The sequence below is a fragment of the Homo sapiens genome, chromosome 10 (assembly GCF_000001405.40).
Source record: "Homo sapiens chromosome 10, GRCh38.p14 Primary Assembly".
Classification (NCBI taxonomy): domain Eukaryota; kingdom Metazoa; phylum Chordata; class Mammalia; order Primates; family Hominidae; genus Homo; species Homo sapiens.
The window spans coordinates 124132459-124158340 of record NC_000010.11 but is presented as its reverse complement, the minus strand read 5'-3'; the positions used below and the strand labels follow the sequence as shown (position 1 = coordinate 124158340).

General features: G+C 48.3%; 1 long non-coding RNA gene across 4 annotated transcripts, besides 1 other annotated feature; it reads left to right on the top strand.

The window, feature by feature from the left end:
• Positions 4747-5006: a silencer, noted in NCBI's record as "silent region_2907". NCBI's record gives its function as "represses an Ori minimal core promoter by ATAC-STARR-seq in GM12878 lymphoblastoid cells {active_cell/tissue: GM12878}" and the evidence as "EXISTENCE:reporter gene assay evidence [ECO:0000049][PMID:35858748]".
• Positions 7070-25369, top strand: LOC105378536 (uncharacterized). 4 transcript variants are annotated; one of them, XR_946428.3, is made up of 4 exons: positions 8483-8724; positions 17870-18277; positions 18853-19045; positions 22995-24550. It is a non-coding gene; the product is annotated as an uncharacterized LOC105378536 (long non-coding RNA). The 4 variants fall into 4 exon arrangements; XR_007062328.1 differs by lacking the exon at positions 8483-8724 and adding an exon at positions 14593-14870 and having other exon boundaries at positions 22995-25369; XR_946427.3 differs by lacking the exons at positions 8483-8724; positions 22995-24550 and adding an exon at positions 7070-7282 and having other exon boundaries at positions 18853-22168.
• Positions 25370-25882: the final 513 nt, after the last annotated feature.

The window sequence follows — 25882 nt, the reverse complement described above, 5'->3', positions numbered from 1 at the left end:
TCTCATCTTGAATTGGAACTCCCGCAATTCCCACGTGTCATGGGAGGAACCCAGAGAGAGGTGATTGAATTATGGGGTGGGTCTTTCCTGTGCTGTTCTCATGATAGCAAATGAGATCTGATGGTTTTAAAAACAGGAGTTTTCCTGCACAAACTCTCTTTTTGCCTGCTGCCATCCATGTAAGATGTGACTTGCTCCTCCTTGCCTTCTGCCATGATTGTGAGGCCTCCCCAGCCATGTGGAACTGTAAGTCCATTAAACCTCTTTCTTTTGTAAATTGCCCAGTCTCAGGTATGTCTTTATCAGCAGCGTGAAAATGGACTAATACACTACTCCAACCTGTGCTGTGAACAGTCACCTCACCCATCCCACCTGTCTCATCCTCATAGTCTTACCTGAAAATGGGGATTATAGCATGCCTGCTAGTTGTTGTGAGCACCAAACTAAATAATGCACATTACATGGGTCTATAGCTCTACCTTGCCTCTATCACATACTAACAAATGCTTCTCTTCCTTACTACTGTCATTGATGATGTTGCTATTTGTAACTAATTCTTTTGCAGGCTCTATAAGGGTCTGGTGAAATAACTCCCTTGGGTGTTATTAAGGAGAAGGATTTTAACCACAGGATCCCTGACCCTGTCCATCTGGACCGTGCAGGTGGCCCTGCCCCACAGGCTGGAGCTCAGGGCTGCTGATCCAGTTGGAACACCAGACAGCCCCAGCCTGTGAGATCTGGGGCATGTTCCTTGACCCCCTCAACTGCAGACATGCTTCGGCCCCTAGTGACTGAGGGTGGCCTCCATGGAGGCTCTTTCTTCACTCTGGGAAGGATGACACTTGGGGCTGTCCTTTCTCACAGCTTGCATGTAAAGCAGTGCAGAGCGCCCCTGCTGCATGTCATATTTGAGCCATAACCGGGAGGCTGGCTCTATTTTAAAAATAGTGTTCACAACTGTGGAATGTCAGGAAGGTCTATAATTTCTCTTGGGTCGAGAGAAGAATGTAGCTTGCAGCAGCATTTGAGGAAAATGCATCTCAAATGCAGAGCTGGAGATGATGTGGTTGTCCAGCCCCTTCTTCCCGCCGCCTGGGTCTCCTGGGTTGGAGAATTGGACACTGTAGGCCCTGGAGGAGTATCCTGGGTGGACTGTACCTGGGCTGAGCTGCCATCGACACTAGGAAGCTCTTTATTAGCACTTCTGAGTCAGGAGCACCAGACTGTTGCCGTGGCAGTGGCTGGGGTGTCAGGGGAGAGGACCTGTCTCATGAGCCGGTGGGGAGGCCTAAATGCACCCCAAATGCTTGGTACAGTCTTGTCACATGGGGGCGCTCAGCAGATGCCCACTCTTACAATGACGAGGAGATCTGGGTCCTTCCCCATTCTGTGTGCCCGGTTATCACTGTCCCTCTTATGGGTCACACCTGAGCTAATTAGGATACCACTGGGTAGGTCCCACACCTGGGCTCTCAGCTGCAGCTGGACCCCAGGAAGAGTGTGGCTGGTCACACAGGGCTGAGGGGAATGTGTGCTTTGGCCATCAGGGTCCAAGGATGCAGCCGTCCGAGGCAGGAAACCCTGAGCCAAAAGGCCACCGCTCCTGCCTGGATGGAACCCAGCCGGTGCCTGGGAGGAGGCGGGGCCAGCAGACAGGCTGGCTGTGAGCCTCCCTGGGCTTCTGCAGCCGGTGCCACTGGGGCTGCCATGTTGTCCCTCATTTCCTCTGCTGTAAGATGCGTAACTGACTCTCGAAGGAATGTGGGTGCACATCACCAGGGGCTGCACTTTTTAATAAAGGGGGCTCCAGCCGAACCCCCTGCAGCTTGGATCGGCTAAACCCTCCGGGAGTCTGTGAATTGGTCCCACAGAGCTGATACCCAGGGACCGAGGGATTTAAATCCTGGCTCCAGCTTTTTCTTCTCATACGGAAATAAAATTGTTGACCAGACGTCTACTCCGGCCATCAAGGCTTTCACACTGCTGAGTAGGAAGTTTGGTTTCTAACCCATATCAAAAATCCCGCAGGAAACAAACGAGGCTTGTGCCAAGGGAGCAGGGCTTCCCTGAGATGAAACTCAGCTGCTCTAAAACGTCCAAGTTGGAGGCGAGAAAACTGGGGCAAAGGTGACAGGGCTGGGGGTGAGGATGCCAGGCCTGGCCGCTGGATTCCCGGGCTTCCTGAGGTGCCCACCCACCCCAGGCATGAGGGCAGCACCAGAGCTGTGCCCTCGCAGGGCCAGCGGGGCACCTGCACGCTTGCCTTCCTCTTCTGATCTGCCTCCTGACCACCCAGGCCCCCTAAAAGCAGAGTAACTGGCCCTTTAGGATCACTCTGGAAAGTTAAAACCTAAGAAGAGAACAAAGAGAGGCAAAGAGCCAGACACTGGTCATGGCCAAGTGACCGCGTAGGTCTGAGAGCTCTGCATTCCACAGGGCTGACCTGCGGCTGGCCTTCCGGGCAGTGGCCTGGCTGCTCGGGGGATGGGCCCTGGTGGGGGTCTCTGGACACCATTCCAGGCTGTAACAGTGGTGTTGGTGCAGGCCCCCAACAAGGGTTGCTCTGGGAGAAAGACTCCTTGCCACTGTGCATGAGGACATCATATGTGGATGTGTGGATGCATATGATCATGCGTGTGTGTGACCGTGGAAGTGAGTGTGCATGTGTGTGTGAGAGCATGGGGGGTATGCATGCATATGTATGTGAGCGTGGGGGTGAGTGCATGTGTGTGTACGCATGGGGGTGTGTGTGTGCATGCATGTGTGTGTGAGCAAGAGGTGAGTGTATATGCATGTGTGTGAGTGGGGTGAGTGTACAAGTGTGCATGCATGTGTGTGAGTGTGGGGGTGAGCGTGCATGTGTGTGAGCGTGGGGGTGAGTGTGCATTCATGTGTGTGAGTGTGGGGGTGAGTGTGCATGCATGTGTGTGAAAGTGGGGGTGAGTGTACATGCATGTGTGTGGGGGTGAGTGCAGGCATTGTGAGTGGGGGTGAGTGTGCATGCATTGTGAGTGTGGGGGTAAGTGTGCATATGTGAGCATGGGGGTGAGCATGTATGTGAGTGTGGGGGTGAGTGTGCATGTGTGTGAGCATGGGGGTGAGTGTGCATGCGTGTGTGAGCATGGGGGTAAGTGCATGCATGTGTGGGGTGAGTGCATGCATGTGTGTGAGCATGGGGATGAGTGTGCATGTGTGAGCATGGGTGTGTGTGAGTGCAGGGGTGTGCATGCGTGTGTGTGAAGGTGAGTGTGCATGCATGTGTGGGGGTGAGTGTACATGTGTGTGAGCATGGAGGTGAGTGAGTGTGGGGGTGAGTGTGCATGCATGTGTGAATGTGGGGGTGAGTGTGCATGCATGTGTGAGCATGGGGGTAAGTGTGAATGTATGTGAGCATGGGGTGAGTGGGGGGTGAGTGTGTATGTGAGTGTGGGGGTGAGTGCATGTATGTGAGCATGTGGGTGAGTGTGCATGTGTGTGGGTGAGTGTGCATGCATGTTTGTGAGTGTGGAGGTGTTTTTGTGTGTGAGCGTGGGGGTGAGTGTGCATGCATGTGAGCATGGGGTGAATGTGCATGTGAGTGTGGGGGGTGAGTGTGCATGTGTGTGGGGTGAGTGTGCATGTGTGTGAGTGGGGTGAGTGTGCATGTGTGAGTGGGGTGAGTGTGCGAGTGTGTGAGTGGGGTGAGTGTGCGAGGGTGTGTGAGCATGAGGGTGAGTGTGCGAGTGTGTGTGAGCATGAGGGTGAGTGTGCATGCATGTGTGTGAGTGTGGGCATGCGTGTGTGGGGGGGTGAATGTGCATGCATGTGTGAGTGTGGGGGTGAGTGTGCATGTGTGTGTGGGGGGAGGGGTGGCTGCATGTGTGTGTGGGGGTTATGCCTGTGAGTATATATGTGTAGGTGAGCCTACATGTAAGTGTGAGTGTGCCTGTGTGTAAGGGTGTATGTGTGAGTGTGCCTGTGTGTAAGGATGTATAAGTGCTGTCCGCATATGTGTATTTATGTGTGAATGAGGGTGTGAGTGTGCCTGTGTGTATGTAGAGGTGTTTGTGGGTGTGAGCGTGTCTGTGTGTGTCTGTATGTGTGTGTGCCTGTGCTTATGTGTGTGTGTGTGTGTGAGTGGACCTATGCGTATGTATAAGTGTGTGTGAGTGAGGGTGAGTGTGCCTGTGTGTAGAGGTGTGTGTGTGTGCCTGTATGAGTGTAAGAGTGGGTGTGAGTGCCTGTGCGTATATATGAGTGTGTGTGAGTGGGCCTATGAGTATGTCTGTGAGGGTGTGCCTGTGTGTATACATGAGTGTGTGTGAGAGAGTGGGCCTGTGTGTATGTATAAGTGTGTGTAAGGGCGAGTATGCCTGTGTGTATGTAGAGGGGTGTGAGTGTGGCTGTGTGTATAAGTGTGTGAGTGTGCTTGTGTGTAAGTATGTATACATGTGCGTGAGGGTGAGTGTACCTGTGTGTAAGTGCATGTGTGTGCCTGTGCCTGTATGTGTGAGTGGGTGTGAGTGCCTGTGCCTGTGTGTATGTGTGTGTGTGAGTGGGTGTGAGTGCCTGTATGTATAGGTGTATGTATGTGTGTGTGCCTGTGTGTAAGTGTGTGTGTGTGAGTGTGGCTGTGCATATGTATAAGTGTGTGCGAGTAAAGGTGAGTGTGCCTGTGTGTAGAGGTGTGTGTGTGTGTGCCTGTGCCTATGTGTGAGTGGGTGTGTGTGCGCCTGTCCCTGTGTGTATGTATAGGTGTATGTATATGAGTGTGTGTGTGCGCGCCTGTGTGTATGTATGAGTGTGTGTGTGACTGGGTGTGAGTGCGTGTGAGCACTTCCCACAGCACGGGCCAGTCCTCTCCCACCACACCCTTTGTGGCCCCCCTGCTGACGTGCTTCCAGCCCAGCGCCCGCAGGCCCTCGGTGCTGCCTCTCCCTCCCCCTTTCTTATTTCCCTTGCCCTGGGCACGAGCACCGTTTCCCCCCTCTGGCTCCCACCACACTCAGGGCCACCAGCTGCTCTGCTCTTCCCCAGCCTCTCCTTCCTCTGCTGGGGTGTCCCGCCTGGCTGTGTGAAGCTGCTGAGATTCTCCCCGCTCGGTCACTGCCTTCTCATCCAGGAAGACTTCCTGACTGCTGAGTCATTTCCTCCTCAGAACCACAACACTTAGCACAGTTCCCCGGGGTTGGGTACACCTGGTGTTATCTGTTTTGTTCTGGGAAGGAGGGGGTGGCAACAGGACACCTGTGGAGTTAAATCCTGGCACTGCCATCTCCCCGCTGGGGGACCGTGGGCGGATTACTCTGAGGCCCTAAGCTTCGAATGGAGCCAGTAATTCTGCCCTCACAGGCTGCTGGGAGGATGAGCTGAGGGGATCCTATGGCACGAATGGGAAGGGCAGGCATTGCTGGCCCCTCTCCCTGGCCACAAGGGTGGTGCCCTGGTGCTAACTCGGTACCTCAGTGCCCAGCCCAGGGGCCGGCCCTCCGCGGGGCTGGTGCATGGGTGCAGAGCTGAACTGCCCTGTGCTGAGTTGAATTTACGTCAGGGGCTTTCTGTGGGTGTCGGGGACTCAGGGAGAGTGGGCAGTGCAGGGGCTGAACTGGGTTTGAATGTGGCTCCGCCTTGGACTAGACAGGGGCTTGGATGCCCGTCTCTGGGGATAATGACGCTGATCTCGCAGAGATCGAGGCAACACCCAAGCTGTGCTGGCCCCACTCCAGGTGGACACTAAACGTGGCAGCCACCCGCCCCGCGTTTCCTCCTGTCACCTCTCTCTTCTGCGACCCTCTGCTTCCTCTGCCCTTTTTCTCGTCTGGGCTGAGAGGCCCTGCGAGGGACCCCCTTGCTCCCCGGTGACAAGAAGAGTGGGAGGGGCAGACTGGAGGGGCGCTGTGCCCCGTGGTCTCACCGGGGGCCTCCGATGCCGCAGGGCAGGGCCCGCAGGCTGCCTTAAGCAAACAGCGGAGCTCTGGACTGAGTCAGCAGACAGGACTGTGCTGGGAGGAGCTCCAAGGAAACCCTCAGAGGATGGCATTGCAGGAACTCTGCCTAGGCTCCCAAAGCAAGGGAGAAAGCTTCCCAGCGGCCTGGCTCGGGCCAACTTACCACGCCTTGGCTGACAGTCCCGCCAAGACAGGGGCTATGCAGAGGCAGTTTCCCCAAATCAAAGTCTGCCAGCCACTCGCAGAAGAAAAGGGGCTGCCTGTGGGGCAGGGAAAGGTCACCCAGGACCCCCACCGCCCAGCGGAAGCCAGGAGCAGGGCCTGGCCTCTTTCTTGCCTGGTTCTGGTTTCCTTGGCTCTGGGACTGCCATGGGAGATGGTTCCAACCTGCTCCATAAAGACGACTTCGGCTTCACCAAGTGGCCATCTCATCGTCCCCTGAGTCCAGGGATGGAAGCTCCCGGGGCAGTGGTGCAGGGTAGCTCTGAAGATCTGGTTTCCTGAGAGGGAAAGCCTCGCCCTGTCTTGGTGGTCGTCATCACCTGTGCTGCCCATCCTGTACCAGCCTTTCTAAGAGCTCTCCCTCTGGCTAAGACACGATCACCCAGAGTCCCTGGCGGTGCCCTCATCTCCAAAGCTGCACAGATGGGGCATTTATCTATCTGCTCAGTAAGCCTAGCTGCCAGAGTCAGCCCGTTTCCATCAGGGTCTTCTGTGCTAGCTGGGGAGCCTCTGCCATTTTCCAGCCTCCCTGAGCCTCTGTCCCAGCGTGGGGTGGGGTTGATAATGACACCTTTTCACAGGCTCATTGTGAGGATAGAATGGGAAAATGCACCCATAACTGCAGTCTCCCTGGGCCCCCTTGAGCCCAGTGTCTATACACTGGCCCGAGGAGAACACAAGTTAGACCCCAGACAGGTGGAAGACAATGTGTGCAGGGGTCTCTTAATCCAACAGGACACAGTAGAGCTCCCCCAAATTCCCATCTGAGCATTTCTCTTCATGTGCGAGTCCCCTCTCTGTGACAGTCTCCTAGCTGCTGCCTGTCCCCAGCATGAGGCTAGCCTCCTCTCTCCTACCTTCCCTCCCGCTGCCTGCCAGTGAAGGAAAGCCTCCTTGCCCTCTCTTGGTCTCTCTCATTTGCATCTCTTCCAGAAATTTGATTTCTGAGCTGCATGAACAAAGGGTTCGCTTTCCTAGTTGGACGATGACAGGTGCTTGGAGGCACTCGTGACCTTGTTGTATTTCTCCACTGTCACATGTGGAGTTCTACATGGCACATGGCCCCTTTGGGCGGTTGACTTGAGACTGGTTCGTGTGGCTGCTGTTGCTGCTGCTGTCATTGTGGTTCCCAGGTGAGTGGCCCCTTCCACGCCTGGGGACAGGGATCCTCTAGACGCACCGGGGCTACTGATGTGTCTGGGGGCTGCTCAGAGGTGCTGGCTTTCAAGGCCCAGCTGCCTCGGCTTGGGGGCTTCCCTCTGGGTTGGCAGTTTCTGCACCTAGCCCGTAGGTTGATTCTGGACCTGGGTCTTTCTTGTGCCCAAATAGCCCAGCCGGAAGTCAGGGCTCAGCATGCTTTTTGCATTATAGGTTTTCATTCAATTTCATTATGGAGAGCATGTTGATGTCAAGCGGGACTGCGAGCTGGTCACGCCTCTGCCCGGAGCCTTCCCTGGCTCCCCAGCCCTGTCAGGACAAAGGCCTGGCTCTTTAGGCTCTTTAGGCACCTTGGTGGGCTGGGCTCTGCTTGCCTCTCAGCTGTCCCTGAACTTAACCTCAGGTCCTTTGCACGTGCTGTTCTCGCTGTCTGCAGCAATCTTACAAACCTGCCCCTTCTCTCAACCTGGGCTCATTCTGATTCACCTCTCAAAATTCAGATGCCTCATTCTAAGCCTCATGTGGCACTGCTCAAGAATGGGAAGACCCTCCTGGCCTCACAGGCCCCCATCCCACCCCATCAGAACACTTCTTGGTCCAGCTCAGAGTCACCTGCCTTCTTCTCTGGAGTACTCACCCCCTCCCAGCCCTACTCTGAGCTGTGTGAGGACAGGGGCTGCCCCTGCCTCGCTGCTATCCTGTCCTCAGTACCTACTGTGGGACTGAGACTCACAAAAGGTCAAACAAATGAATGAATAAACATTCTTTGTTTTTGGTTCAAATTGCATTCTTTTAGCAAAGAAAATCTTAGTTTTGGTTTAAGAGGATTTACTACAGAGTCATCTTTTAAATGATGTTACTTCCGGCTTTGGATAAAATCTTAAGAAATAGTAAACACTTTGTTTTTTATTCTCTCTTTGACATAAAATATGGTTTGTTAAGTTTCTGGAATCCTGGCTGGGTCTGGTCTCTGTAAAAAGTAAAACTTCTCAGTCAGATCAATTATTTGTTCATGGAAAAAGGAAAAAAATTCACATCCAGCAGTTTGGTTAAATGAAATCTCCCCTCCCCACCCCCTACTCCCTGAGGTTGAGGTTCCTGCAGGGCCCCTGTCAGCCAGGCCTGGGAGCAGGTGGTGGGGAGGCTGGTGCTGGTGCATTTTCTGCTTCCACTTTCGGATGATTTAATGCTCTGGGGGAAATGCTTTGAAAAGAACCCTCCTCTTGCCAGCCCTTCAGCAGGTTGGTTTAGCTTCGTAATTAGCAGCCACAATAGGAGCTAGGATAATTATCCCCCAAAGTAAAGAGAAAAACAGATGTTTTTAAAGCTGCACAGTAGAGATTTTGCCTTTCGATTGTAATAGTTTAGCACGTGAAATGAATTAGATGCCGGCTTTTCCTGGGACATCGTTTCCAAGGTAGGTTAAGGAAAACCCTGCTGTTTTCAAAAAGAACAGTCTTGGATTGGGGACGTGGGGTGGAGGCAAACACATGTGACAATTTTCAAAACCTAGCAAGAAGCAAGGGAGGCTGGATTGAATAAATTAATGAGTTTTCCGCTCCTGGGATTTGAGTTAAAGCTTTCTCATAATTGAAAATTGTGGCATGCTCCTCTGTGCTGGAACACAAAGCTACAGGTGTGTGCTTACAGCCTGGCACGGCTGTCGCATCTCACGTGGAGATTAAGAGTGGAATGCGTTGGGACTGCAGAATGGATGCCCCCGTGTCGGCTCGGAGAGGGCTCCAGGGCTGCTTTCTTTGGCTTCTCGAGCATTTCTGTGCTGCCTCCCCCATGTATTCACCACCATTCCTCCATAACTACGGGAAGGTATCTATCAGAAAGACCCTCAGTGTTACAGGAAAAGGGTCCCGATCCAGACTCCAAGAGAGGATTCTTGGATCTCACGGAAGAAAGAATTCAGGGTGAGTCAATAGTAAAGTGAAAGCAAGTTGAATGAGAAAGTAGAGGAATGAAAGAATGGCTACTCCATAGACAGAGCAGCCCTGAGGGCTGCTCGTTGCCTATTTTTATAGTTATGTCTTGGTGATATGCTAAACAAGGGGTGGATTATTCATGCCTCCCCTTTTAGACCATATAGGGTAACTTCCTGACGTTGCCATGGCATTTGTAAACTGTCATGGTGCTGGTGGGAGTGTAGCAGTGAAGATGACCAGAGGTCACTCTCGTGGCCATCTTGGTTTTAGTGGGCTTTAGCCGGCTTCTTTACTGCAGTCTGTTTCATCAGCAAGGTCTTTATTGCCTGATCTTGTGCCGACCTCCTCTCATCCTGTGACTTAGAATGCCTTAACAGTCTGGGAATGTGGCCCAGTAGGTCTCAGCCTCATTTTACCCAGCTCTTATTCAAGATGGAGTTGCTCTGGTTCACATGCCTCTGACATCAGCACAGTCTTGTTCCTGGAAGTGAATAAAAGGATCAGATCACTGGGGAGATAAAACAGCCTTAACCAAATGGGGCCCCTAGTTATGATGGGTCAACTCTCACTCTGCACTGGGCTCTTCCTGAGGCCTTCACCCTGGGCTACTTTGGAAGGCCCTCAAGAAATTTCATTTCCTTGAGGACGTGGGTTTGAATTTCAGATTTGCTGTGGATCCTCTTAATTTTTGTGGGTAGACCCTGTCTTCTTTCAAGGACTCAGTTTGTTCAACTGTAAAATGGATGTTGGTTTTGATCAGTGGTTTTCAAATAGTGCCCTGCAGAATTCTAGTTCTGAGAGACATTAAGAGATGTTACAAAAAAAAAAAAAAAAAAAAAAAAAGAACCTAGTGAATAACATCCTTCACTTGGGGCAGGCTGATTTTGCCCCTCTGGGGCTACTTGGCAATGGCTGGAAACATTTTTTGGTTGTCATAAGGTGGGAGGATGCTATGGCATCTAGGAGGTGGAGGCCAGGGAGGCTGCTAACATCCCATAATGCCCAGGATGGCTCCATAGCAAAGAAGCATCCAGTCCCAAATGTCTATAGCGTTGAGGTTGAGAAACACAGCCCTAAAATTCTAGGTCTCATTTGAATATTAAAGGCTATGGGCAGGGCTACAGTAAAGAGCTCCACTTAACTTTTAATCCAGAATTCCTTACATTCATTTGCAGGCAGATTCCCTTTTCCCCCACCAGTCTGGGATTAATGTTCCTCAGAGCATGCTCAGGAAACCCTGAACTAGATGTTATCTACCATTTGTTCCAGCTCTGACCATCTTGGACACTATAGTCAGGGAACAGAAACCCCAAGAATGACTCTGGGACTTCTCATCACCCAGCTCTGGTGCAGGGCGTCTTGCAGGGGAAGTGTCCAGGAAATTCCGGGAAAGTTGAATTGAAGCTGGTCTTAGGGCAGGTTCCCTGATGCAGAGCCTGAAACAGAGACTTATTCAAGTGGTTTATTGGAAAGGAGCTCTCAGGGAAGAGTGATGGGCAGGAAAGGAGCTAAGCAAAGGGGTGGCCTCTGCTGGAGACCTGTTTCTGCCTGAACCCCAGGAGGTGGTGGGGTGGGCTGGAGAGCTCCAGAGCTTGGGGAGCTTGGGGTGGGGGTGGTGGGGTATGAGCTGATTACAGTGTTGAAGTCACCTTGAGTGGGAGGCCCATCTATCCTTCCTTCCATGGGTCCTTCCTGCACTGGCCTTGGCCTATGAGTGGGCATAGCCTCCCAGGTAAAGCTTCACCTCTCTGGAGGTGGGGAAGGCTGTGAGCTGTTAGCAGGCCAGCCTCACAGCTTCCAGGTGCTGCCTGCAAAAGCAGGTAGAGAGAGGAGACCTGGGAGAGGCACCAGCAGCCCCTACTACAAGGTAGCACAGCATGCAAGTGCTTAGAACTCTCAAAGAGCAGGGAGCCCCACTGGCTGGAGGAAAAGGGTGGTCTTTGCTTACCCGAACTTCCCTGGACTTTTAAAACTTCTCTCCCCCAGCTTTCTGGGATGCTATTGCTGCTGAAAATCATGGAGCCCCCAAGAGTCAGAGGGCTGCTAGGGAAGAAAGTAGAGGGGGAAACCAGCCACTAGCAATGTCAGCCACTTGGTGAACACCTGCATAGACCAGGCCCTTAGCCAGGGGCTATTTCAGAGGAGGTGCCTGGGTTCTGAGTGGTCCACGATCACACAGCTGATAGGTGTCAGAGAATCAAGACTTTTGGCCTCTCTTCACACTATTCTCCACATGGGCCATAAAACCTATTCAGAATGGCGGGGTGGGGTTGACAATGAAGTAAACAAGGGTAAAATATGCAAGTACATGATGGAGTTATTTAATTAGCCTCATATTTGGAAACATGTGGCTTCAAATTGGATGCTAGTGAAACATTCTGGCCCACATCCCCTGCTCTTCTTCCCAGCCCTGAACCTCATGTTCACCATTTCATGGGAGTTAGCCACTGACACTTCCCCAGCTGTTCACAGCCATTGGAAGGTGGAGGCACTTTCTGGACAGACTTGAGAGGCAGCCTCTCTTTGTGGGAGGACACTGGACTTGGAGTCAAAGATTCCACTGCCATGGAATGACTAACAGTGGCGTTGTATCGCTTCATATGGGTTTACTGTAATTTTCCTGAGTAGTAATTTATTAGTGGACATTTAGGGTATTTTTTCCAGATTTCCCAATATTATAGGTAACAACACAATAAATATCTTTGTATATTCATCTCCACCTACATCTTGACCAATTCCCTCAGGATAAAGTCTAAAAATAGTTACAGGGTCAAATTTACCCACATCTTAAAGGCCTTTCAGAAAGACTGTGCCAATTTCAACCCCAGCATTAATCTAGGGAGATCTCATTTCTTCGCTTCCTCACTGGGCTAGGTCTTATCTTTGTTGATCTATTAGGAGAAAAATGACATCCTACTGTTTTAATTTGCCTTTTTTTTTTTTTTAATGGTGTTAACAAAATTTCAACAAATTTTGTTTAAAGATCAAATTGGCTTTTATTTGTGGTTCATGAACGGGGAAGCATCCCATTCTTGTAATAGGAAGGAGCTCCTATGGGTGGAACAGAGGAGGCAGACTTTACAGGCAGAAAAGGGCTAAAGAAACAGAAACAAAGAACAGTTTGATCACTTTGTGGTGACTTTCCTTATAGGGTTAAAGCAGACAGGACTTCCCTGATGCTGGCTAAAACTGGACTGTTTGGGAATTTGGCTATTGTCTCTCTCCCAATTTCTCAGCGTGTCAGATAACTTCAGTTGGGTGACATGTAACTTCATCTTGGTGAGGCCTTGGGCCTTGTGTGGGAGCTCTGTCCGAATCCATGGGCTCCCACATGCTCTATGTAGCAATTGTGAGGCTGATATTTTTTCCCTGTGCGGATGACCATTCGCATCTCTTCACTGGAGGTCGCCCACTCATACGCTTGGCCTGCTTTCCTGCTTGTCATCTTCTAAGCACACTTTTCTATTAAGACTCTCAACCCTTGGCGGTGAGTGGTCTACTGACTTTTTCCAGTTCATAGTTTGCCTTGTCTTCATTTTGCTGGAATCTAGTTTTGAAACCTCAACCATCCAGGTAGAGATGGTTCCCCAGGAAGTGGCTATTGGCAGAAACGCTGGTTTAAGGAAATTTCTCCTGCCCCACCCCACTCCCACGTTTAAAACTAAAAGCTCAGCTAGAACTGGAGAGTTCAGTGGGGAAGAAGTTCAAGGGGTCAAAGCATATCCTGTTCCTCATTTCACAAATCATGCTGCTAATTGCCCAATTTAGAGAGATTTGGTGGCAACACTTGGCAGCAGGATGTGAATTGCCTCACACACAGGGACAGCTGAGGATGTTTTCATTTTGTTGGGTAGTGTGCACAGGAAGTCCCACGGGGGCTTCTGGGGCCCAGAACACTGGTCCTGGAGTCAGCAGACCTGGGTGTGAGTTCCGGCTGCACTGCTGATGGAGCTCTGTGTGACCGAGTTGTCATTTAACCCCTCTGAGCTTTCTGCGTCTGTAACATAGGCCCTGTAGCATTGTCGAGACCACCCAAAGGCGGGGAGATGTGGCATGGTCCTGCCTGCATGTGGTGATCCCAGGCCTTTGAAAGGACTCCCTGGCACCACCCTTCCCCTGATTTCTGAAGGGCGGGGTGATGTATCTTTATTTCTGCCCTCACTCCATGTGCCGGGATTCCATTTCCTCTCTCCATCTGTAAAACAGAGTTGTTTCTCACAGTGCTGAGGGGAATGTGGCCACCACGTCTCTGGACTGTTTGGTTTCTCTCTGAATAGACCTCTGGGTCTTGTACTTCTCAGGACTCCCCGCTGGCTGCCTCCAGGTCCCCACTTTGCAATCACTCTTCCTGCAGGAAATAGAAACGCAACAGGGGCCTTTGTCACTAAATACACACAAATCTTGATACGGTAATGGCTCACAGCTGCCGAGCACTTCCCGGGTGCCAGGCCCTCACTCAGGGCTGCTGAGGGGTCTCCTCACACGGGCCGTCCATAGAGTGGCCCCATCAGTCTTCCCTCTGAGGGACATTGGGAGAGGACTCAGAGACCAACAGGCAACCAGATGTGCACACACAACACACAGCCAGTCACATTCATACAGACTCATATTCTCATACATCCACATCCACACACACAGACTCTTGCATAAAGACACACAAACATACACACCACATAGACATACAGACACACTCTTACACATTCTCTCACACATACTCACACAGACACATAGACACACACACGTGCTCAAACACATTCATACAAACACAGACACATCCACACAGACATACCCACTCTCATATATTTATAAAAACTCACACACATACATACACACACTTAATACACAGACTCACACATTCTCACATTCACACATGCAGTCTTACATAGTCACCAAGACACACACACAAACTCCCATATATGGGCACATTCAAAGACACACAGACATAGATACACACAGGCACACACACACACAATGGTACCAGAGCCTGTCTGTTCTGTGCACATGATCTGGTTTCTGGCCACCACATATGAAGAAGGACACATAGACAGAGGTTCACTCTGAGGAGGGTGGTCAGGGTGGCCCCCCGTGCCTCTGAGGATCCATGAAGATGCTGGGATGTCCCGTGAGGAGAAGAGATGACTCAGAGGGCCACCAAACGCTCTTGCAATGCTCCGTGAACTTTCCTGTGGAAAATCGAATGTTCTCTGAGGCCCAGAGACGTGACAAATGAGGACTGGAGGTTGGGGGAAACAGCAATAACTATTTGTTAGTGAAATGTGTGTGATGCAACTGCTATGATTTGAATATTTGTCCCCTCCAAACTCATGTTGAATCTTAATCTTCAATGTGGCAATATTGAGAGATGGGCCCTTTAAGAGGCGAATGGGTCATGAGGGCTCTGCCTTCATGAATGGATTCATCTATCCATGGATTATGGGTGAATGGATTAATGGGTTACTGTGGGAGTGGAACTGGTGGCTTTTTAAGAAGAGGAGGACAGACCTGAGCTGGCGTGCTCAGCCCATGTGAGGCCCTGGGCTGCCTCAGGACCCTGCAGAGAGTCCCCACTAGCCAGAAGAACTTCACCAGATGCAGCCCCTCAATCTTGGACTTCTCAGCTTCCAAAACTGTAAGAAATAAATTCCTTTTCTTTATAAATCCCCCAGTTTCAGGTATTCTGTTGTAAGCAACATCTCTGAACCAGGAGTTAGGATAAAGCCGTGAAGAGGGCATGGTGCCATCTTCCTCAGTTCCTCAAGTTCACGCTCTCCTAGAGAGGGACCTCTAAAAGGATGACTCAGTTATGGTCTCTGTGACACTGACAGGGGATGTGTGGGGACAGAGCTGAGGGCGGTGGCCTGAGCCCCACTGTGGGAGTGGGCTCCCTGTTACTGGCTGTATCCAAGCAGGATGGGCAGCTGGTAGACAGGGATGCTGGGGCAGGGCCTCGAGACCTGGGTGGAGGCTTGGATGAGACACACATCCCTGACTCACAAGTTGCTGCTGTTTTAGGTTTCTCACTGGGTGAGTCTATGGAAAGGAGATCAGAAAGAGGAAGTAACGACTCCTTCATCTCCCTATCCCTCGACCCCGGCCTCTGGTGGCCTTACCTGAGCATATCTCTAGTGTCAGTGGCTGGGAATAAAGACTGGCCGAGCAAGAAGTTCAGGTGATCAGTGCCTTGGTAAAACACAATAACAACAACAAAAACCTGCCAACTTCATGTTTCAGCAGATAATCAGTTGAGTTGGGGGATGGCCAAGGGGCAGAGGTTGAAGGAGGAAGACCCCCAGCTCTGCAACTGATTTGCTGTGCCTTTAGGCAAGGCACCTGCCCTCTTGGGCCTCTGCTATGATTTGAGGAGTTGCACTAGTTGGTTTTATGGCCACCCCAGCTCTGAAGGGCTGCACGTAACCCTGTACTGACTGAGCCCACAAAGGGTGGGTGGGCGGCACACCCTGCAATGGCTGCCAGGCCAAGATCAAAGGGCCAGGCAGGAATGTTTCTGGAACGATGCTATTTATGCCTTTCTGGGTTTCTGAACAAAACCCCAGAAGCAGAAACCACTTACTTCTTAGCCCCCAGAGGTTTCTTTCCGAGGGTAAGCACACTTTCCAATGTGCTAACCAAAGACAGCTGCATCAGAACCGAGACTTTTCTTTAAACTGTCATCTGTAAACCTCCACACTGGACACAGCATTTGCCTACTGTAAAGCTTGGACGATAGCTTTAAATAGATAATCCTCAGGCTTTTGCATTTCAGCTGAGGCAAAATCCACAGCCAAAAGTAAATGGGAAAATTAAAAGCTTTCAGGAGCTTACATTTTTAAAATTGCAAAGTGCACCCAGTGAGTTATATGAAATGACTCAGTGTTACTAACTGGTCCCCAACCTCCCAACCCTTGCATGAAATTGATGCTGGTCATGCGCCCACCAAGTAGGCATGAACTTTACATGATTTCTCTAAAGGTCATAAGACAGTTTGGTGTCCACTCCTTCAACCAGTCCTCACCCCAGGGGACCCAAGCATGGCCAGCTTTATGGGTGGGCACAGGGCTCTGGGCTTAGAAAGGCCTCCTGCTTGATTTAAAGTTCTGCTAGGATTGTCTCAAAATTCTAAATAATTTTTGAACAAGGGGCTCTGTGATAATATGACACATATTGAACTTTAAAGCAAAAAAAAAAAAACTCAAAATATGTAAGATGAAAACAGAAATAGAAAGAGAACTTGAGGAATCCACATTCATAGATTAACACAGCTCTATTGATCAAGCAGACAATAAAAGTGGTACAAATAATGAATTAAGTTAGATTTTATGAAAGAATACAGAAATAACCATGCAGCCAATATATAGGTATATAATTTTTAAGAATATACAGATGTTTATAAAAATGTATCATGCAGTAAATCTTGACTAAAGTCTCAACAAATACCAACAAATTAACATTATCTTAACGCTCTCTGTGAGCACAAGCGATTACATTAAAAATCAACAGGAAAAAGATAAAAAGCATGTTTGGAAGTTGCTATTGTCTGAATGTTCATGTCCCCTCAAAACTTGTATTTTGAAATCCTAACCCTCAAGGTGATAGGATTAGGAGGTGGGGCTTTGGGGGGGTGATTAGGTCAAGAGGGTGAAGCCCTCATGAATGGGACCAGTGCCCATATGAGGGGCTTGACAGAGACCTCTTACATCTTCTAACATGTGAGGGCACAGCAAAAAGGTGCCATCTATAACTCAGAAATCAGGCTCTCAGACATTGTCTCTGCCAGCACCTTGATCTTGGACTTTCCAGCCTCCGGAACAGTGAGAAATAAATTTCTGTTGTTTATAAGCCAGCCAGCATATGGGATTTTGTTACAGCAACCCAAATGGACTGACACAGAAGTTTTAAAATGTTGCCCAATAACTCATGCGTGAAAGAGGTAATCAGGGGAATTATAAAATATTTAGAACTAAAGAATAAAATAACATGGCCAGAAACAGTGGCTCATGCCTGTAATCCCAGCACTTTGGGAGGCCGAGGTGGGCGGATCACCTGAGGTCAAGAGTTTGAGACCGGCCTGGCCAACATGGTGAAACCTCGTCTCTACTAAAAATAGAAAAAATTAGCTGGGTGTTGGGGCAGGCACCTGTAATCCCAGCTACTCTGGAAGCTGAGGCAGGAGAATCACTTCAACCCAGGAGGCAGAGGTTGCAGTTAGCTGAGGTCTAGCCTGGGCAATAAGAGCGAAACTCTGTCCAAAAAAAAAAAAAAAAATAAAAGAACAGTCTAGTCAACTTTGGGATATAGCTAAAGCAGCACCCAGAGGAAAATGTGTAGCCTTAGTTATAAATAAGTTAAGGGTTCAACTGAAGTCCCTAGAAACAACCTTGAAGTAAAACTAAAAGAAAAAGACAGGCAAGAAAATGATAAATACAAGAGCAGAAATTAACAAAATAGATAATCAATTGTTATACTTGAGATACTTGAGAAATAGATAAACATGGTTTTGGACTTTCTTGTTTTCTTGGCATAAATAATTTCTTTAATAATCACACCACAAGCATGGTTATTTGTTTAATAGCTGTATTCCCTGTAAGACCATATTCTTTGCTTGTTTTGTTCACCATTTTATCTCCACAGCCTGAACCTTGATAGACAGATGTTCATTAAACATTTGGAAATGAAATGAGTGAAAGGAATCTTAGCCCTGCCATTTACTCTGCACCATTGAGCAAGTTATTTACTGAATCGGAGCCTCTCTTTCCTCATCCGTCAAACAGAGAGAAGGAAGCCTCCATCACGGGCTGCTGTGGGAACACGTTAAGCTTTTGTGCAATTCCCAGGGTAAATAGTCAATCAATGGAGAAAGGTGTAATTATGAGCCATGGAATTGGCTCTGACACTGGAGAATGCCCTGCCTGCCCAGCAGCTCCACCTCCATCAGGTCCCTGCAGTTTTCTGAAGGCACAAGAGGCAAGCTTGAGAGGAGCTGGAAAATATGGGAAAAGAGAATCACAAGGAGGCTCAACGAGGTGGCCAGTGCCGGAGGTGAGTCCGAACTGTAGAGGGGAGCCAGTGCATCCCACCCTGCCTCGGCCGCCCTGCGTGCCTTTTGCTGGAATTCTTACCCCCTAGCACTCGCATGGGTCCCTCCTTTTATCAGACGTGTCTTGATTCGGTCATTACCTTATGTTCTGGCCGTTTGCCTGTTAGCCCTAAGATCTAGCCTCCACTTTCCCCTGACCCTACTGTATATCCCTGGGTGGCTTCTGCAAAAAGTTTGCATTTCCCTGGGGAAGATGCATTTTCCAGGCATGTTTGACCTTTGGTTTCTGGTTATGTTCAGCTGATGGGAGATGTTCATGGCAGGTTGGAAGGCAGGGAGAAGGGAGAAGCCAGGATGTTTCTTCCCCCAAACCCCTCTCTGCTTTAGGAACTATCCCAGGCAGCTGCCCCATCTCCTCTGGGTTCCACATGCTACTGGGCCACTCTTCCTTGTATGTTGCCCTCTCTTGGGTTCTGGAAGCCCTTCCCTTTGTCTCTAGCTAGGGCTGGTAGCAGCTGCTGTTGTTACTAATCTCTGGATAGCCTCACCGTGTCCTTTGCCCTTTCTTCTCTTCCAGCACCTTTGGACCTAGTTCTCTATATTAAAATTCTTTTCTTAAACCGCCTGGTTGGGATCTGCTTTCTTGATTAGAGACTGAAGTTTCTTCTCAGAGAAACCTTCCCTCACCATCCTGGGAAAAGTAGCTCCAGGCTCTTTCCATCGTCTTATACCACTGGTACCCTTCTCAGCACTAACCAGTACCTGAAATGGTGAGTTCATGAATTGCTTCCTTGTTTATTGTCTTTCTCTTCCAGCGAGAATGCAGACTCCTCAATGGCGGACATGTGGTCACCCTTATATCCCCAGCACCCAGCAGAGGGCTTGGTGCATAGCAGGTGCTCAGTGAATGTTTATGTTCTGTCATTGGATGCCACTAATCTAATGCGTGACCTTAGGTTACAGGCACTTTCTGTCCCAAGTTCTCATATTCTCACCCGCCAGTAAGAGTTGGCCTTAATGTTAAATATCTGAGATTCCGTGACTTTGCTTTGCAATTACTATTATAACTCAGCCAATTTGGAAACAACTCAAAATTTCAAATTTCCTTGTCCAGAGTTGTCAGCCTGGCTAACAAATGTCAGAAATCACTAACTCCTTAGAGTGCTTTGTTCTACTGGAAGGCCATTTGTCCTGGAAAGCCATTGCTCTATATTAAGTGCTCAAGTGTGTGTACTCATTAGGAAGAAATGGAACAGAGAAGCCATCATTCAGTTTAAGCAATGACCTGACACCATGGGCAGCTTGCACAAGCCATTCCAAATACCAGTAAATACGTAATTAAGGCATTGGAGGCCAGCAAAACTCAGCCAAGTTCATTCTAAGCTGTCTCTAGCAATGCGTGGGAAAGGCTGGAGGCTTTGTGTTTTGAACTCCAAGGCAGCCACATGCTGAGCAGTCATTTTTGTGTGGACACACCACAGCACTAGGATTCTGTTGAAACAGGCATTGGGTACTAAGTATCTGGGCAGCTTCTCTCACCCCATTGCCACTGCACTCCTTGGGGCCCCCTCACTTTTTGGTCCAGACCTTTCTCCTGTGTCTCACTGGCTTTTCTGCTTCCAGAACACCCTCTCCTCTGCCCCATTCCCCTCAATCTCTCCTCCACAGTGGACTTTCTCAAATGCTTGGAGGACTGAATCACCCACCCACTTAATACCCTTAATAAGTTCCACTGGCTTCAGGACAATTTCCTGGCTCCTCAGCACTGCACGCCAGGTTACTTAGGGTCTATTCTCCAATAACCTCTGATGCCTAACTTTAGCCACCCTCTCTTGGTGTGTGCTTTATTTAATTTGATTTTATATATATATATATATTTTACACAGGGTCTCACTTTTGTCTCCCAGGCTGGAGTGCCGTGGTGTGATCACGGCTCACTGTAGCCTTGAGTTCCAGGACTCAAGTGATCCTCCCACCTCAGCCTCCCGAATAGCTGGTACTACAGGCACCTGGCTAATTAAAACAAAAATTATCTGTAGAGATGAAGTCTGACTATATTGCCCAGGTGGGTCTCAAACTCCTGGGCTCAAGTGATTCTCCTGCCTCGGTTTCCCAAAGTGTTGAGATTACAGGTGTGAGCCACTGCACCCGGCCTCGATGTGTGCTTTAAACACCATGTTTCTTGTGGTCTTCCCCTTCTACCTCCTGGTTTACCCCCCAGTATCTTTGCTTATGCTTCTGTTCCCTCCTAGAAGACTCCTTTCTTCCTCCTTCATCTGATGCTAACACATTCCTTTTTTTCCTCAATTTTTCAATAAAGTATGTGGTATCCAAGGGATATAAAGAATACACTACCAAGCTTAAGAAACAAAGTGTATCAACATGGTTAAAGCTCTTTGTGTATTCCTTCCTAATCCTTTCCTTACTGCTCCCAGGTAACCATCATTCTGAATCTTGTGTTTTACCTTTTTATAATGATCTTTGTACGTGAATGTATGCGTGCATCTCTAAGCAGTATGCACTGTTGCTTAAAATGCTTTCACATGTTATGTGAATGATATCATACTCTCTATATTCTCCTATAACTTGCCATTTTTGCCCTCTATCATGTTTTTGAGGTGCTCTGTGTTAATGCATAGAGCTCCAGTTCACACCCATTTTCAGTAAAGTACAGTATTTAAATGTGTGTGTGTGTTTCTGTGAGTGTGTGTGTTTATTCTCTCATACGACATTTGTTTTTGCTATTATTAACCTACTGCTGTGCACACTGCTAACCACATCTCCTTTGCACATGGACAAGAGCTCCTCGAGGGTATCATGCAGAAATGGAAGTGCAACTCATAGGCCCAGCATATCTTCAGTTTTACCGTATGTTGCCAAATAATTTGTTAAAATAGAGCAGTTTATATGCTGGTCAGTGGTATATAAAACATTTCTCTTCAGTCTACATGGTTGCCTAACCTTTTCTATTGACAGGTTTACAAATTCTGACAGTAAATGGATGTAAAATGGAATCCCATTGTAGTTTTGACTTGATATTTTCCCGATTATAGGCAGACTGTTGTATTTCTTCTTCTGTGAAATGCCTGTGTATAACTTTTGTCTCTATTTCTGTTTTGCCTCTAATAATTTTTTAGTGATTTGAAATATATTTTGGATAATCTTTTTAAAAGAGATGCAGGGTCATGGTGGTCTTGCTGTGTTGCCCAGTCTGGCCTCAAACTCCTGGACTCAAGGGATTCTCCCACTTTAGCCTTCCTAGGAGCTGGGACTACAAGCATGCACCCCTATGGCTGGCAATTTTTTTTTGTTGTTGGTGATATATTGCAAGTATTTTTTCCCTGTTTGTGGTTTGCCTTTTTTTGTTTGACAAAACATTTTTGTATTATTTGTATCTGATTAGCAAAATTTTTTTTATTTACTTAAATTGTTCTATTTTTTTCTTTTATGATTTATGCTTTTTGTCTTTTTTCTCCCATATAATCTGAGGTAGGGATCCAGTTTATTTGTTATGTGGATAGCCAATTTTCCCAGCACCATTTATCTAATAGTCAACCCTTCCCCCTTCCAAATGAGTCAACTTTTTTGGTTGAATAAAAGCAATGATCTCAGATATTCTTGCCTATTTTATAATTTTAAAAGGAATGTTTTTCAGTGCTTTACCATCAAATATGATGTTTATGTAGCTATTTTAAATTTATTCTGTTGGATTAAGTAAAGTACCATATTTTTCTAAATAGCCAGGAACTTTTATCATGAATGAGGGTTAAATTTTATCTAATGTCATTTTCTGTCATTAATAAGATGCCAATATTTGCCTCTAATCTCTTAATATAGTGAAATTACCAATAACTTACTAATAATAAACCATCTTTATTTCTCAAATAACCCAATTTGATGATGATGTATTATTATTTTATAGGCTTTGGTAGATTTGGGTTGTTAATGTCCTGTTAGTACTCTTGCATACATACTTCTGAGAGATGTTAGCCAGAGATTTTCCTTTCCCAAATGCTTTTACCTGGTTGAATTACCAAGGTTACACTAGCTTCACAAAATGGTCTCACCCTTTCTAGTCTCTGAAAGAGTTTACATAAGTTGGAATGAAAAGTTTGGTAGACCTCTCCAGTAAAACCATCTGGGCCTTGCAGTTTTTGGTGGAAACTAATTTAATTTGTTTAGTGGTCATAGAACTGTTCAGGTTTTCTATTTCCTCCTGAGTCAGCTTTGGTCACTGTGTTCATTAGGACTTAAGAATAAGCTTGGCCGGGCGCAATGGCTCAAGCCTGTAATCCCAACACTTTGGGAAGCCAAGGCGGGCGGATCATGAGGTCAGGAGTTTGAGAGCAGCCTGGCCAACATGGTGAAACCCTGTCTCTACTAAAAATACAAAAATTAGCCAGGCATGGTGGTGCAAGCCTGTAATCCCAGCTACTGGGAGGCTGAGGCAGGAGAATTGCTTGAACCTGGGAGGCAGAATTTGCAGTGAGCTGAGATCATGCCACTGCACTCTAGCCTGGGTGACAGAGCAATACTCCATCTTGGAAAAAAAAAAAAAAGAATAAAGAATAAGCTCAGGTGCAGTATCCTGCAGGAAGTCTTCTGTGACATCCCCTGCCCATAATAGACTAAATTATCTTCCTACTAACTTCTACATTGTATTGTCATTCATTCATTCATACAATATTTATTGAGCATCTACTATATGTACTGTTCTAGGTGCTGGGGAAAACCAGTGAACAAAATAGAAAAATTCCCTGTTCTCACAGAATGTACATCCTAGTGAGTGGAAGGGCCGTCAGTAGACAATATACATGAATGACTTGTATGACAACTACTGGAGGAAAAAGCACAGCAAAGAAGGGGTCCAAGGAGTGTCAGGACAGGCAAGGCTGCAAGTTTTAATTCAGCAGTCAGAGATGTCACTGCACACACTCCTTCTTTAGGAAATATTTATGGAGTACTTACTAGGTGCTAGGTACTAGGATTACAAAGAAGAACGAAATAGACAATATTCTTGCTTTTGTGGAGTTTATTATCTGGTGGAACACAAGTGATACATAGGTAAATAATCAAATAAATAGAAATTATAGCTATTGATGAAATAAATCAATAGGTGCTTTGATAAAGATAGCAGGAAACCTGGTGTTAAATAGGATGCTCTCTCTGAAGGGGTCCTCTGGGGCTTGGACCTGAAGCATGGGAAAGAGCGAGTGGGACAGAGCACCCCATGGAAACAATCTGCTCACCTCTTGTCTCATCCATGTGACTCTGAGCTCCTTGAAGGAAGAGATCATGAATTATTCATTCCCCATTTCCAGCATGGCACCAGGCCTGGCACATTAGAGATGCTCCACAAATGTTTGTTTACCTGTTAGGTAGAAGAAATCAAGAGTAAGAGCTGAAAAACATTTGAAAATTGCCGTTTGTTGGCTGGAAGAAACAAAGTTCATCATGCAGTTGGCTGACATCTATTCAACAAACACTAACCGTGCCTGGCAGTGGGTTACAGGTTGCGTGGAAGACCCCCTCTTTGAGGCGTTTTAATCCGGACGGAGAGGCAGACTGGAGTTATTCTCATTCGAGGCAGATCCAGGCCCGGGCAGTCCCAGCAAAGGGGTGGGTGTGTGGTCTGGCAGTGGGCCAGGGGGTGTGCTCCCATCAATGTTGCCCAGCCTGGATGTGCCATGCCCTGTGGATGGAAAGGTGGATGTGGTGTTTGAGCTGGCCTGGGTCCTCCCTGGCTCAGGGCCCTGGAGACAGATCTGAGTAGTGACCAAACTTGAGGGAAGGGTCAGCTCCTGCTGCCAATCACCTGGGCTTCTTGCTGACAGCAGGACACAGCCAACCTTGTTGAGAAGACAGCCACACAGATGTCATGGGGTGTCCAAAGACAGTGTGTAGCTCCTTCTAAGGCACCGGGGACACTCCTCTGGCCATCCAGTGGCAGTGTTTAAATGGCAGAAACATTTGCTACCTTGTCTCAGGGAGCTTCGTAGGACTAACGGGTTGATTTACACTCTGCAAGGGAGAAAAACGTCCTCCTCTGAGATGTGTCATCAAAACAGTGACAGCATTGGAAATTAACTGGGCAGGTCCATGTTTCTTCATTTCCTAGAGGTGTCCAAGTGACATTTTCTGCCAGTTTGCTTCATGCAGCCCTCCTCAGATAATCAGAAATGTGTTTACGGGCTTGGGCGTTTGCGTCGTTTGACTAGTGCTTCACGAGGGAAGCCAGCATGTATGGGAGTAAGAAAAACAAATGTTTAAAACACCTGAATGATAGCAATACCTTGTTGGATTATTTACTCACGTTTTGCAAGTATGGGTTTCTAAAACCTGAGAATCTGCTAATTTCTTTCAGATACTCTCCGTAAGTATTATGCATATTGAAAATAACAGAGCTCTCCTCTACTAAAACAAAACTTCAAAAGGGATTTCCAACTGCCATGTGCTGCTTATTGTGGGGTTGCTAGATGCCCCCCTCCCCTTCCCACTACACCAGCCCCTGCCCCGTGGTAGAGAGATCCAGTGTTGGTAACCACAGGTGACCACCGACTCTCTACTCTCCTTTTTGCCCAGGCTGGCCCTGTGCAGGTATTTCATGCCGGAACAATGCTTTTGTTTTTTCCCCTGAAAAATTGTGGGATTAAAGCAACTGGTGGTTTGGGAAGTGTACAAATGCTAAAAATATGTAGAAGTACCCAAGCAGCTTTAAGTGGTGCCATTACCTTCAAAACCAAGCCAGGCACATAGCTCGATAAACATTTGTGCAGTGAATGAATGAAAATGTCAAACCCTTGAACCATGGGGCAGGAAAAATGATCACACAGTAGCTGACTTCTTAAATTCTCTACTTTAGCTTGTTCTTGCTTTAAGAAAAGCGCACATGCCCATGTTAATTTTTAATATCCAGGAACTTCCAAGCCTCAGCCTGAGGCTAACTAGAAATATCAGTGACTCTGGAGAGATCTGGCTAAGTGACAGGAGAAAAAGTGTAGAAACGGCTTCCACCCAAGCATCTGCAGGGAGGTCCCAGGATGTTGAGTGCAATGCTATCAATGACGCTATTTCAAAAGACTTTTTTCCTGACTTCATTTTTTTGAGCTACTTGGATTCCTTCTTTATCTTCTTATCCCATTGCTCGTGACCCCCAGGCTCCTATCACCCCTCGCTATTTTCCTGCTTTCTGGGTTCATCTCTGTCCTCTGGGGACTGGACCACATAGCATATGCCTGACGGTGACCTGGAATCTGGGAGCATGAGGGAGGCTGAGAGAGGAGTGAATGACAGATGGGAAAGCCAAGCAGGGGAAGGGGAGCAGGAACAGGAGCTTTCTACCTGCCCGTCCTGTTGCCCTGCAATGGGGTCGCTGGTGCCTGTCCCTCAGGCTTCAGACCCCGCCCCCCAGACAATGGGGCAGCACCTGGGAGCATGTGACTGTCCTGCCTCTGATGTGCTAGCCATGAGCCCTGGGTGACCAGGCCTTTCCACCATCCCACAGCATCAGGGTGCTCTGCATTCCTGGGTGGCTGCCTCGGTTTCCCTGTTCACAAAGCAGGTCTTAAGCCAGTCCTAAAACGTGTCCTGAGCTGCGGCCTTCTTGG